The sequence below is a fragment of the Homo sapiens genome, chromosome 3 (genome assembly GCF_000001405.40).
Source record: "Homo sapiens chromosome 3, GRCh38.p14 Primary Assembly".
Taxonomy (NCBI): Eukaryota; Metazoa; Chordata; class Mammalia; order Primates; family Hominidae; genus Homo; species Homo sapiens.
In genome coordinates this window covers 15,666,931-15,680,281 of record NC_000003.12, presented here as the reverse complement: position 1 = coordinate 15,680,281, position 13,351 = coordinate 15,666,931, and the positions used below count along the sequence as shown (strand labels likewise).

The 13,351-nt window shown below is 37.5% G+C and overlaps 2 protein-coding genes across 40 annotated transcripts in view; one reads left to right on the top strand and one right to left on the bottom strand.

The window, feature by feature from the left end:
* ANKRD28 (ankyrin repeat domain 28) overlaps positions 1-13,046 on the top strand; it is a 192,579-nt gene extending 179,533 nt beyond the window's left edge. For 24 of the 34 annotated variants that reach the window (XM_047447807.1, XM_011533542.4, XM_024453422.2 and 21 more), the window contains 7 exons: positions 719-806; positions 898-981; positions 1,928-2,073; positions 2,720-2,802; positions 3,226-3,308; positions 4,293-4,384; positions 9,726-13,046. In XM_047447807.1, the coding sequence (XP_047303763.1) occupies positions 719-806; positions 898-981; positions 1,928-2,073; positions 2,720-2,802; positions 3,226-3,308; positions 4,293-4,384; positions 9,726-10,012 (863 nt within the window). In that variant the 3' untranslated portion in view covers positions 10,013-13,046. Of the gene's footprint in view, positions 1-718; positions 807-897; positions 982-1,927; positions 2,074-2,654; positions 2,803-3,225; positions 3,313-4,292; positions 4,385-7,091; positions 8,923-9,725 lie in introns of those variants that run through there. The other 10 variants (XR_007095653.1, NR_146111.1, NR_146112.2 and 7 more) reach the window with 4 other exon arrangements.
* The window catches only part of BTD (biotinidase), a 121,156-nt gene that overhangs the window by 42,235 nt on the left and 65,570 nt on the right, over positions 1-13,351 (bottom strand). Inside the window, exon 4 of one of the 6 annotated variants that reach the window (NM_001407401.1) lies at positions 7,327-8,672. The exons of 4 other annotated variants lie outside the window; for them this stretch is intronic. In NM_001407401.1, coding sequence (NP_001394330.1) covers positions 8,649-8,672 — 24 coding nt within the window. In that variant the 3' untranslated portion in view covers positions 7,327-8,648. Of the gene's footprint in view, positions 1-7,326; positions 8,673-11,654; positions 12,254-13,351 lie in introns of those variants that run through there. One more of the 6 variants, NM_001407380.1, reaches the window with a different exon arrangement.

Sequence of the window (13,351 nt, the reverse complement as noted above, 5' to 3'; positions counted from 1 at the left end):
AGTGAGCCAAGATCGCGCCACTGCACTCCAGGCTGGGCAACAGAGTGAGACTCCATCTAAAATAATAATAATAATATTTCATATATGCTATTATGGAAGGATATGTGTAGTTAATATTAAGTAAAAGGCAAGTTGCGGAATTAAACATCCCATTGCCATTAAGAAAAAAATAAAAAAATAGCACAGTCATTTCTCGTTTGCTGTTGAGGATTGGTTTCCAGGACCCCTTGTGAATACCAAAACCAACAGGCGCTCAAGTCCCTTATAGAAAATGGGATAGTATTTGCATATAACCTATGCACATTCTCTGCTATACTTTAAATCATCTCTGGATTACTTATAATAACCAATGTAATGTAAATGTTATGTAAATAATTGGTATGCTGTATTTAGGGTATATGACAAGAAAAAAAGTCTGCTCTGTTTTTTTTTTCCCCCAAATATTTTTAATTTGGGGTTGGTTGAATTGATGGATGCAGAACCCACGGATACAGAGAGCCAACTGTATGTATTTTGTGCGTGCAGTTGTATATGCCTAGAAATTTTCAGGAACTACTGGTGGCTTAACAGCTACCAATGGTTATATTCCAGAGAGGGGATCTGGGAGATGGGATGAGGGAGAGACTTTTACATTTTTCCTTTAAACACTTACATGTACCTGTGATTTTTGCCAGTATCTCCTTTGAATTTTAATACCTGGTTCTTTACACCTATTTAGGTCACGAGACATGTGTAGAACTGCTTTTAGAACAGGAAGTTTTCCAGAAAACGGAAGGAAATGCTTTTAGTCCATTGCATTGTGCCGTGTAAGTAAAGCCAGAATGAATCAGATTTGGTTTGAGTGTTTTAAGAAATACACCATTGCTGTGAGAATGATCACCTTGTTACCTTACACAGGATAAATGACAACGAAGGTGCTGCTGAGATGTTAATTGATACATTAGGTGCCAGCATTGTGAACGCCACAGATTCAAAAGGAAGGTAGGAATTCAACTATGTATTAAATAGTTTTAGCCAGGCACAGTGGCTCATGCCTATAATCCTAACAATCTGGGAGGCTGAAGTGGGAGGATGACTTGAAGCCAGGAGTTTAAGACCAGCCTGGTCAACATAGCAAGACCTGCATCTCTACCAAAAAAAAAAAAAGTGCATGATGATGCATGCCTGTGATCCCAGCTGTTCAGGAGGCTGAGGCAGGAGGATCACTTGAGCCCAGGAGTTTGAGGCAACAGTGAGCTATGATTGCACCACTGCATTCCAGCCTGGGTGACAGAGTGAGATCCCGTCTGGGCCCTACCCCCCAAAAAGGTTTTATTTTCAATAAGAAATAAATTTTAACTACTGGCTGGTGTGAGAGAATTTACAGAAAACCCATTATTAAAAGTTGATTTTTATATTTGCGAGTATAAATTGTTATAAGATCTCAATTATTTTTACATTATAAAAGGTTTTTCTATTTATAGATTTTAGGAAGTTTTCCTCCTTTAAACTATTTTAACATGTAAATATTTTTCCCTCTCTTTCGAATTTGTTTCCCAAAGATTATTGTTAACAAAGTTAACAGTTTTCTAAATGGGAATAAAGCCTGGAAAAAAGTCCAGCAGTTGTAATAAGTGGTGGTATTCAGATTAGGATTTATTTCTTTCAAAATTTCCTTTAATGATGTAATGTTATTTTAGCAATTTTGTAATTAATCTTTACTTCATACTAGTTCTAGTTTAATTAAAGCCTTCTGTATTATTGAAAGTACAAATTTCTATGAGAGAAATTAGTAAGCTCCATTGAGCCTATTTGTTTGTGTACAGGCAGTGCTTTTGTAGCCTAATATGTAAACCCTTAAAAACAGCATGTCACAAATTAAAGAATATTTTTCCAGCATATATAACATTCAAATTTAGTCATATATTTCAATTTTTCTTTATCACAGAACTCCTCTCCATGCAGCCGCCTTCACAGACCATGTAGAGTGTTTACAGCTGCTGCTCAGCCATAATGCTCAAGTCAATTCTGTGGACTCTACAGGGAAAACACCTCTTATGATGGCTGCAGAAAATGGACAAACAAATACAGTTGGTAAAGAAACTTCTTTAAAATTGTATTTTCCTAAGTATGTGTATCACTTATGTATAACTTAGATCCCAAGACTTCTGACTTCAACTAGTTATCTTACCACTCCTAAGACTTAAAACCTTTTACCTGTTTGCAATCCACATTTTCATTTAGGGATACAATGTTTTAGTTTGCCCTGACTATTGAGGAGTCTACTTTACCATGGCCTTATAACATAGTGGTTAAGAACACTGGCTGTGGAGTTGGATTGCCTGAATGTGAGTCCTAGATCTTTCAGCTAAATGACCTTATGCCTCAGTTTTCTCATTTATAAAATGAGAAAAATAACAGTATCTACTTGGTGTGTTGTTGTGAGGGTTAAATAAATTACTTTAAATCCAGAGCATATAAAACAGTATTTAAAATTTAGTGCACAGTCACAAAATAAATGTTAATTGCCATTGTTAGAGTGTGTGACTTATACAACAATATAATTGTCTCATACAATTATATGAAGATATATATGTTATATATTACAATATTTTTCTTGTACTTAAGTTTTTGTGAGAGGGACTTTTTTGCTTTGTATCTTCATTTCTCTACAGTGAGTTATTGGTAATCTAAGAAACATGTTCATAAACATAAGAATTGATGCACTTTTTCCTCCCAGAGATGCTGGTTAGCAGTGCTAGTGCAGAACTGACTTTACAAGATAACAGTAAAAATACTGCCCTCCATTTGGCTTGTAGCAAGGTATGTATACATCTTAAGAATATGTTTCCATTGTTAATATTAACAGTGACCTTAAAAGTTTTTTGACTTCACTAAAATGAACAACTCAGGACCAAACCTCTCTAATGATCACTGGTATTAGATTTCTTGAACAAAATTGACTTATAAGGCACCATGGCGTATCAAAGTCTCCAGTAAGCCAAATAAGTTTTGGAACACAAGTCTAAGCATAATTATCCTCTTTCCTTAATCTTAATTTTGTCCTCTTCTCCTACCCTCACTCCCAAGATGTGTTTGGGCAAATATTAAGATATTAGCCAGGAAAATTCATGGTATATGTATGGTGTTGTACATAATATATGGACTAGGATTGCAGATTGTTGGGTGTATAAATGTATCTTTAATGGTGCTCAAGTTTTTATAACTTATCTGCCACAATTATAGGGTCATGAAACTAGTGCCTTGTTAATACTGGAAAAGATAACAGATAGAAACCTCATCAATGCAACCAACGCAGCCTTGCAAACGTGAGTACTGTCAGTATCTAGTATAAACTTTGTGACCTATAATTATAAAAATGATAAATGGATTTTTTTAAACATGTGACTATTGGAATAGGTTTCATTAGTCATAGAAGCAATTTTAATAGTTTTACAACTGTCAAAACTCATTTCTAAAATGATCACAACTAAAAGCCATATTATTTAAAATGCTTTTGAACTGAAATTTTATTATAACATTGACAATAATGTATTTTTTTCCTTAATCCACCTACCTAATTTTCTGAAGGAAAGTAGTACTATTTTGTGTATTCTGTGGAAATCAACTGTAATAATATGTTACTTGAAACTAACAATAAATGAGGTAAGAAGCTTTATGTGTGTCTGTAAGCCAATAAGGTTTCTTAAAGAATCAAAATTTTTAATAATGTGAGCAGCCAACCTCCAGATAGACTGACAGAGATCTTACATCAGTGTCTCTCATTGTCCCTTGCTATTCCATTTTGAGGTTTAGTAAAGATAAAAATCTTAGAATATTGTTGCCCGTTCTGGGATTAGTCAGATCCCTTGAAGGTCCAAAAATTAGTCATGATGCTTGTAAGCTGTTTTCAAAGCCTATTAGAATTTATGCTACTGCAGTTTACAGTTTTTAATGTATAGTCTGTATCTTTACCAGCCTCATTCCTTAACAACGGAGGAATGCAATTTCAATGGTAAAATGTTTTTAAACATTGAAAAGAAAAGTAACAAAAGGATTGGGTGAAGGTAGGGACCTGTCGATGGGACCTATGGCTGAGCTTGATGCCGAGCTACACGTTGACAAGGTGTGACAGTGCACTGCACAGAGGTTCTGCTCTCCCTGCCCCCATCTTTGTTATTAGGACTAGGTTTCTCGAGTTTGTACCTCTTGGTCTTCACAAGTTGACAAAAATGCTCTTTGACAGCCAGGTGTGTATGTGTATGTGCATGCACATGCACATATGTGTACATGTATCATGTTTTTTCCCCTAGACCTCTGCATGTTGCTGCCCGAAATGGGCTAACAATGGTGGTTCAGGAACTTTTGGGAAAAGGAGCAAGTGTGCTTGCAGTAGATGAAAATGGTAAGTTGGTTCTATATTCTCTTCCCTTAACCTAGAGCTTTTATCTTTTGATCCATATTTGAAGAGAAATAAACTTGGATATTTTTTATTGGTCAAAGAGGAGAGCTAAAGTTAATATTGAAGAGTAGTTTGTGGCAAAGGAATAAGGGCAAAAGAAATAGGAAAAGTTATCTAACAGATGTACTTCCGAATTCCTATATCATCTGTTACAGCAAAGTTAGTATTTACTGTTTATACTTGCCACTTTCTGTTGTTTTAGTAGCCAAAGATTTTGTTCTTTCAGCAAATATGTATCAAGATCCTAGTTAAGTACTAATATTCTTATTTAAAGCCAGTGTTTCTACTCATGCACTAGATCCTGTCCCCTTTTGCCTACTTCATAATGTCAGTTTGACAGTTCTCTTTTGTGTCCTGGAGTAACATTTTTCGCTCTCTTCCTGTATTATTCCTCTCAGTATATAAACATTAGTTCCCTCATCCTTAAAAAATAATTTATAAATCTCACTGCTCCTGCCAGCTACTGCCATATTTCTCTGTCCCCTTTTGCAGCAAAACTACTCTCTTGCTGTCCGCAGTTATTCCTCTCATTCTTCCATTCTTTTGTTGTTGTTGTTGTTGTTTGTTTTTGAGACGGAGTCTAGCTCTGTTGCCCAGGCTGGAGTGCAGTGCCATGATCTCGGCTTACTGCAACCTCCGCCTCCTGGGTTCAAGCGATTCTCATGCCTCAGCCTGCCCAGGTAGCTGGGATTACTGACACCTGCCACGACGCCTGGCTAAATTTTGTATTTTTAGTAGAGACGGAGTTTCACCATATTGGCCAGGCTGGTCTCAAACCCCTGACCTCAGGTGATCTGCCTGCCTTGGCCTCCCAAATTGCTGGGATTACAGGTGTGAGCCACAGCGTCCAGCCTCATTCTTCCATTCTCTCTTAATTTCCGTATAGTCAGGCCTTCTCCCCCTCACCCCTACACATAGCAAAACTGTTCCCATCAAAACCACCAATGACTTCTACTGTGTTAACTACTACTTAGCTCTCATTTTACTTGATAGATCAGCTTTTGGCACAACTGATCGTTTCCTTTGATAAATTTTTTTACTCTGCTTTTTGAACCCCACTCTTCCTTGGTTTTCCTTCTACATTACTAGTTATTCCTTCTTAATTTCTTTTACAAAATTTCTCCCTCTTCTTCTAGGACTCAATTCTTCGTTCTTTTTGCTTTCTCTATCTACATTGACTCCCTAGTGCTCTCATCAGTTCCTTTGGTTTTAAATACTACCTATAATGCTGAGGATTCCCAGATTTATATCTCCAGCCCAGACTTCTCACAGTCTCTATATATCCACGTGCCTAATTGACACATCCATGTGGATGTCTGATAAACAGCTTAAACCTAGAATGTGCAGAACTGAACTGTTGATCCTTTCCCACTCCCCTTGCCAGACCTACTCTCCCCACAGCATCATGCTCTCTCCATTGAAGACAATTCTCATTCTTAACAGTGGCTCAGGGCAAAACCCCTAGAGTCATCCTTGATTCCTCTCACTCATACTCAATGTATAGTCCATCAGCATATACTATTGACTCCACCTCTAAAGTAGATCTAAAGTATGCCCACTTTTTTCTTTACTGCTACCAGACTGACCTGGATCCTTTTAAAGTATATGAGAACATGTTACTCTTGAATTTCGGTTCTTCTTCTTTTTTTTTTTTTTTTTTTTTTTTGAAGAGGCAGGGTCTCACTCTGTTGCCCAGACTAGAGTACAGTGGTGAGATCATAGCTGATTGTAACCTTGAACTCCTGGGCTCAAGAGAACCTCTCACCTCAGCCTCCCAAGTAGCTAGCACTATAAGTATGCATCACCAGGCCTAGCTAATTTATTTTTTGTGCTGACAGACTCTCACTATATTGTCCAGGCCGGTCTTGAACTCCTGGCCTCAAGCAATCCCCCCACCTCAGCCTCCCAGAGTGCTCCACCTGGCCCCACTCATAGTTCTTAAAATGACCTTACTAGGCCCTACATGATGTGTCCTCCACCTTGTTACCTTTCTGATATTATTTCCTACTCTTCTCCTTTCTCTACTTCATTCTGCCATGCCAGCCCCTCCATAGCAGGGTTATACATGCATTGTGATCTTCATTCTGGCTGTTTACTCTGCCTGAACACTCTGTCCCCAAACATCCCATGACTAAATTCGTCACCTGTTTCAAATCTTAGCTCCAGTTTCATCTTCTCAATGAAGCATATTCTAACTATTCTTTACTACAACTTGCTAGATACCCCTACCATAGCATTCTCAGTCCTTGTTAACCTGCTCCACTCTTTCCTCTTTTTTTACATAAAGCTTTTAACATATTGTATATAATGTACTTTTTTGTTATGTTGATTTTGTGTCTTCTCCACTAAAGTGAATGTAAGCTCCACAAGAACAGTGAAATCTTTGTCAGTTGCATTCACTGATATATTCTTAGTGTTCTAAATAGTGCCTGAGCAAGTGGAGGCTCAGTGAATATTTGCTGCATGAGTGATTATGCCAAGCACTGTACTAACTTCTGATGATATAGTGTAAAATAAGACATAGTCTACTCCCTTGAATGGAGATAAGAGTGCAAACAGCCTATTAACGATGCACTTAAAATAGTTTAATTGGAATAAGCATAGAATGCTATGAGAGTACTTAAGAGGGTCTTCAAATCCTTTCTTGCAGGATCAGAGAAGGCATCCCAAAAAATGCAACTGCTAAGCCAAAATCCAAAGGATAAGGAGAAAGTGGGGGAGGAACTTTCTAAGCAAAGAGAGTGGCATGTTAAGAGATAAAACTGGCCGGGCATGGTGGCCCATGCCTATGGTCCTAGCACTTTGGGAGGCACAAGGCGAGTGGATCACCTGAGGTCAGGAGTTCGAGACCAGCCCCGCCAACATGGCAAAACCCCGTCTCTACTAAAAATACAAAAATTAGCCAGGTGTGGTGGCATGTGCCTGTAATCCTAGCTACTTGGGAGGCTGAGGCAAGAGAATCGCTTGAACCCAGGAGGCAGAAGTTGCAGTGAGCCGAGATCATGCCAGTGCACTCTAGCCTGGGTGACAGAGCCAGACTTCGTCTCAAAAAATAACCCCCATGCAGAGGAGAGGAGCCTGTTTTTAGTCATATTCTGACTAGAAAACACACCTGAAACAAGCTTCTTTCCCCACTCCCGCTCTCATCCAAGGCATCCTGGCCTATGTAATGGGTTGTTCTGCCTGCCAGCAGCAGGAACAGCAGCAGGCACCTTTAGAAGAACCCTTGAAAGAAGTGTGGGCAGTGAAGCACTCCCCCAGCTACTTTGAACAAATAAAATTTAATTAAAAATACGGACAGCCTTCAGCCACTGCTGCCAAACTTGGAAGGACATCAGTTGTTCTCTTTGACCCTTGACAAAATGGGAACTTTACAAAGGGGGAAAAATTACTTTTTGTGGCTGGGCACAGTGGCTTACTCCTATAATCCCAGCACTTTGGGAGGCAGAGGCGGGAAGATCACTTAAAGCCAGCAGTTTGAGACCAGCCTGGGGAACAAAGCGAGACCCTGTATCTACAAAAAAGTTTAAAAATTAGCCAGGCATGGCATGTGCCTATAGTCAGAGCTAGTCAGGGGGCTGAGGTGGGAGGATCACTTGAGCCCAGAGGTTGAGGGTGCAGTGAGCATGATCATTATACTGCACTCCAGCCTGGGTGACAGAACAAGACCCTGTCTCAAAAAAAAAAAAAAAAATCCTTTTTTTATCAAGGCCAATATAGCATAGATGAAAATATGTGGGAGAACTGGAAGCAACCAGATGCCCAGTAGTTGAAATGTATAACTAAACCATAGTATAATCACACAATGAAATACTGTATAACAATGAAAATGAACCAACTACAGTTACATACAACATTGATAAATTTCATATAATGCTACACAAAAATGCCAGATATGAAATAATACATACTACATGATTCCATTTATATTAAGTTTTTTAAAAACTCTAAACTGTAGGCTGGGTAAGGTGGTTCACATCTGTAATCCCAGCATTTGGGAGGCCGAGGCAGGCAGATCACTTGAGGCCAGGAGTTTGAGACCAGCCTGGCCAACATAGCGAAATCCCATCTCTACTAAAAATATAAAAAATTAGCTGGTCATGGTGGCACACACGTGTAATCCCAGCTACTCAGGAGGCTGAGGCAGGTGAATCACTTGAACCCAGGAGGCAAAGGTTGCAGTGAGCCAAGTTTGCACCACTGAACTTCAGCTTGGGTGACCGAGCAGACTCTGTCTCAAAAAAAAAAAAACAAAAAAAAAACTATAGTGTTTATGACTCCAAGTTGAAAGCAAGGAAATTACTACCCCATAAGTCAGGATAGTAGTTACCATTGTGGAAGAAGAAAGGTGTAACGACTGGGTAGAGGATATATGGAGGCTTCTGGTATGCTGGTAATGTTCTCTTTCTTAATCTGTATGGTGGTTATACAAATGTATGTTATGTGATAAAACTATTAAAGTTCCATATGGTATAATTGAAGCTTGGCATCACACTATTATCACTTCTCTCCCGCTCCGTCCTCAAGACTGAGTCTTGTACCAACTGAGGTACCAAATGTTTCCTCCTTGGTTTGCTGTGTTGACACTTTGTGGTAACTTACGACTAAGGTCAGTTGTCTTCCGCTTAAAAAAAGGGAATATTTACAAAGGAAATATTTGTTTTGATTTAGTAGTTTTTAAAGTTCATCTGCTTAGTTTGTCTACTGTTTTTCTTCAAGAGACTGTGACCCCAAGAGAAAAGTTAAATTGACAACTAAGTGTCATTCATTCAACACATATCTTTTGAGCACCTGCCCTGTGGCTGATTCATGAAGCTGTACACATTTAAGATTTCTTAGCATCAAAAAGTTTCCTTACATAACTACAAATTAAATTTTTTTATTTTTTCTTACCTTGACACTGATATAACTGCAAATTAACAGTAAATCTCTGCCTACCATCCTGAAAGAATATTCACGATATGTGGTGTTTTTCTTATTCTAGCCCAGTTTTTTCTGTGAATTCAGATGGATACGGATAAGTTGTGAGACCTTGGGGAATCATTCTTCTCTGGGCCTGCTTCCTCTTCTGTTGTCTAGTCTAACATCCCCTTCCACCCTAGGTTTCTATGGCTATTCTTTTTCTACTTATTAGAAACTTGCGAATCATGCTGGTTACAGCAATTTATTATAAGCTAAGTAATGTAAAATATGTCTAAAGTTGAAGTACTTTAGGCTTATTTCCTTGTCTTTGGTGAAATACATCTCAGGATGCTTAATTTTTAAATTTTATCTTTAATTCTAGGCTATACCCCAGCTTTGGCCTGTGCTCCCAATAAGGATGTGGCTGATTGCCTGGCTCTCATTTTGGCCACCATGATGCCTGTCTCATCAAGTAGTCCTTTATCATCCTTAACATTCAATGCCATTAACCGTTATACCAACACCTCAAAAACAGTCAGCTTTGAAGCTTTGCCCATCATGAGGAATGAACCTAGCTCCTATTGCAGTTTCAATAACATTGGAGGGGAACAGGAGTACTTATACACTGACGTGGATGAGCTCAACGACTCCGATTCTGAGACCTACTGAGAGGCTGAGGAGGAGGGAGTTCTCACAGTAAAGCTTCAAACTGTGCTTTTTCAGGAAAAAGGCACTTTGATATTCACGTAGAAATTCAACCTAAGAGGAAAGATCCCACAGTGAGCCAATGTTAAGAGATCTGATGGCATTAGGAGGAAGAGTTTTAAAGGCAAGTTTTACAAAAGGAACTTCTAGAATCTTGAAATAGACCTGACTGAGGAAAACACATTGATGTCAGAATTCTTTGTGGAATTGTTTAATTTGGTTTTGCAGTGCCAGGAACAATTGGGGACACTGTGCACTCTAACCTGCTTACACAAGCAACACTATTGTAACAGAAGAAATAAAGACACTAGATTTAAATTTTATCAATAAAATTACAACTAAATTTAAAGGCAATAAAAGTTTGGTACAGTAGGCATTATGTGCACAGCAAATTGCAAAAGGACCAAATAACTGAAAGGTTTTTTTAATAAAATGCCATTTTGTGGAAACTGGAGTAGATTAAATGAAACATTACCTAAACCAAACTGCAATATTTCTGGAAATGAAGCTGAGATTTGGTTTTAAATGTTGAGTTTTTTTGGGTTTTGTTTTTTTTTTAAGAAAACATCTGAAAGCCTTCCAATGCTGTATTAAACCATGAGAGAAAGCAGATGTATTTTTACATTTTTTTCTTTTACAGAACTATTTCAAATTTCCAATTTTTATACTATTAGAATTAAAAACCAGCTGACTGGGTGCAATACGGGTGAAAATACTTGTGACATAGACATTGAGATGGATTGGGGTCAGGCTGTTGCCCTGTTTTGAATGGTTTGGGTTTAAAATAGTACTATTTTTGTTTGAAAATGTAAAGAATTTCCTAGAAAAAAATTCATGAAATCAAAAAGTAGACTATTTCACCCTATTGCAGCTAAGTGGTCCTGGGGCATGGAGTCTTCAACCTCTCTATGAATGGCACACCTTAGTCACTTATGTTACTTTTGTGTCCCCACCATGGGTTGGGGGATTTTTTGTTTATTCTGATCTATGAGTTTTGAAAAAGTGAATAATCAAAAGGAAAATAATTCCTTGTTGTTCATAAATTAAGCATCACTAAAGTCTCTTGAAAGGCATTTCTGTATTGGGCAAGATTTAAAATACTAAAGCCTTAGGTCCTATTCATATTTAAAGTAGCATGTTTGTAACCTGTTACTATTTGGAGAGAGAAGCAGTTGCCTGCCAAATTGAAGACTACCTTTCAAATAGCAAAAGAGAGAGAGAAGGCTGATATTTCGGCTTTTAAATAAAGATTTGTGTGGTTCTGCTTTTACTGTAACTGTCACTTTCCCAGTGAAAATGATTTCATATACATTGAGGGTCTTACAGGTATGGGTAAAGTTCTATAAATTGCAACAAAATGATACCCAATTTCATTTTATCCTTTTTGTATTGTGAAACTGGAAACTTTATGACATTGTAAATTATCAGCTGGTTTTTCTGAATATAAAGTGTGAAAACACAGAACAGTATTTTGATCTATTTGATAATTTTGTGGGTTTTTTGAAGAATTAATGAGCATGTACATAGAAATAGTGACTGCTTGAATACTGTATTTACTTGCACTCTTTCAGTACATCAAGATTCCTGTATATTTTAGAGTATAATAAAACACAGATGTGAGTTGTATTTAATGAATAATGTATTTGTATCTGTGCATATTATCTACAAATCTATAAAGTTTCTAGGGCATTGACTACTAGATTTTAAGCATTTTTTCTAAAATATTTACAGAAATTATAAATCTAATCCCCCATCTTTTCTTTATAATATAAAGAAGTCATAATGAACCCTTCCTAATTATTAGTAGTAGGAAGGTGAATATGCATTTTAATGACAGTGGACTACATTTTCTATTGTACCTTTTGAAAAAAAAAAAAATCAAGCAGATTCTAAAAGTATACATATGTGTGCTTTCTCTTTCCTTTTAGGAATTCTCTTCTGAATTCCCTGAGGGAATTTTCTAGAATCTCAGAATTGAAAGAGACCTGAGGTTCATCCAGTCTCTAACCTCTTAACAAATGCAGGAGTCCCTTCTACAAGGGTGATCTTTCCACCTTGAACACTTCCAAGTGACTCTACCTCACCAAGCAGTCCATTCAGTTGTTGAGCAGCTCTAACTGTTAGAAAGGTCTTCCTTAGATGGAGTTGAAGCCTCCCTCCCGGTAACTTCTGTCTTTGGGCCTGGGTCTGTCCTCCAAGAGAACCCTGAGAATGTTGGAAGGATGAATCTCGCACATTCTGCCATGTCTTCTCTTTTACAGGCTGTTTGACTTCTCTGCTGAAGTGATTTCCAGAAGGACTCATTTGACACACTATTAGATTTACCACATCTAATGAAATCCAAGGTGTAGCTATAAAGTGACAAGCTGTTTTTAATTTATCACATACACCAGAACTTCTATCCTGCATCACTTATATGTAAATGATGCTGTTACCAAAAACATTAAGGTAGTTCTTGCGAATGCCACCCCACTAAGAAAACTATTTCATTACTTTTGTAATCCATCTGTGAGAGTCTGCCCCCCAGCTTAACCACTTCCTTTGGTCTGCACCCAATGAAGGGAAACCCCAAAGTACTGTCTCAAATGGTATTTGAACTACGCCAGTATTGTTGGAATAAGTACATTAATTACTTGAATGAATGAACACAGCACCGTAGAAATTTCCTTTATGGTTACACCTTGTATGTCTAAAGCATTCAGGCCCTGTTCTGTAGTGTTTCTTATCCTCACACAGAGTAGAAAAGCCTGTTTGCTTTATTTAACTTATACATAAAAGATGACATCTGAAATATCTGATGTGTATTATAATACCAGCTTCTGCTCTAGAACTACTTTGGGTGAAATGGTGGTAATAGCAAATGACCTCCTTTAACAAGACACTCATCTCAAACAATGCCATTTAGTTCAGGAGATCTCTAAGTGTAGCTGTAAATTTTGGGGTTAATTTGGCTTATATTGGACCTTTTAAAAGAAATAAAGTTTTTTAATGCAATAAATCAAGTGTCTGTCTCTTTTACATGCAAACTTCTTTTCCCTTAAACTGTCTAGCATTGAATTGACAAGTTTTTTTTCCTTTTCTAATAAAAAAATGACTTTTTAGCAAAGTTGTTTTAGACTTAAATGAACCTATCTATATGGGATTTTCAAATATATTTATTCAACAAATACTGCTTGCCTGCTGTATACTTGGGAGTGGGAATGGGCAGAAAACCAAGAAATTGTGATCTTGTCCTTTAGGAGCTTACAATTAATTTCATTGTGGAAAGGTATAAGTAGAAAGTAATAAAAGTGTAATTGAGGT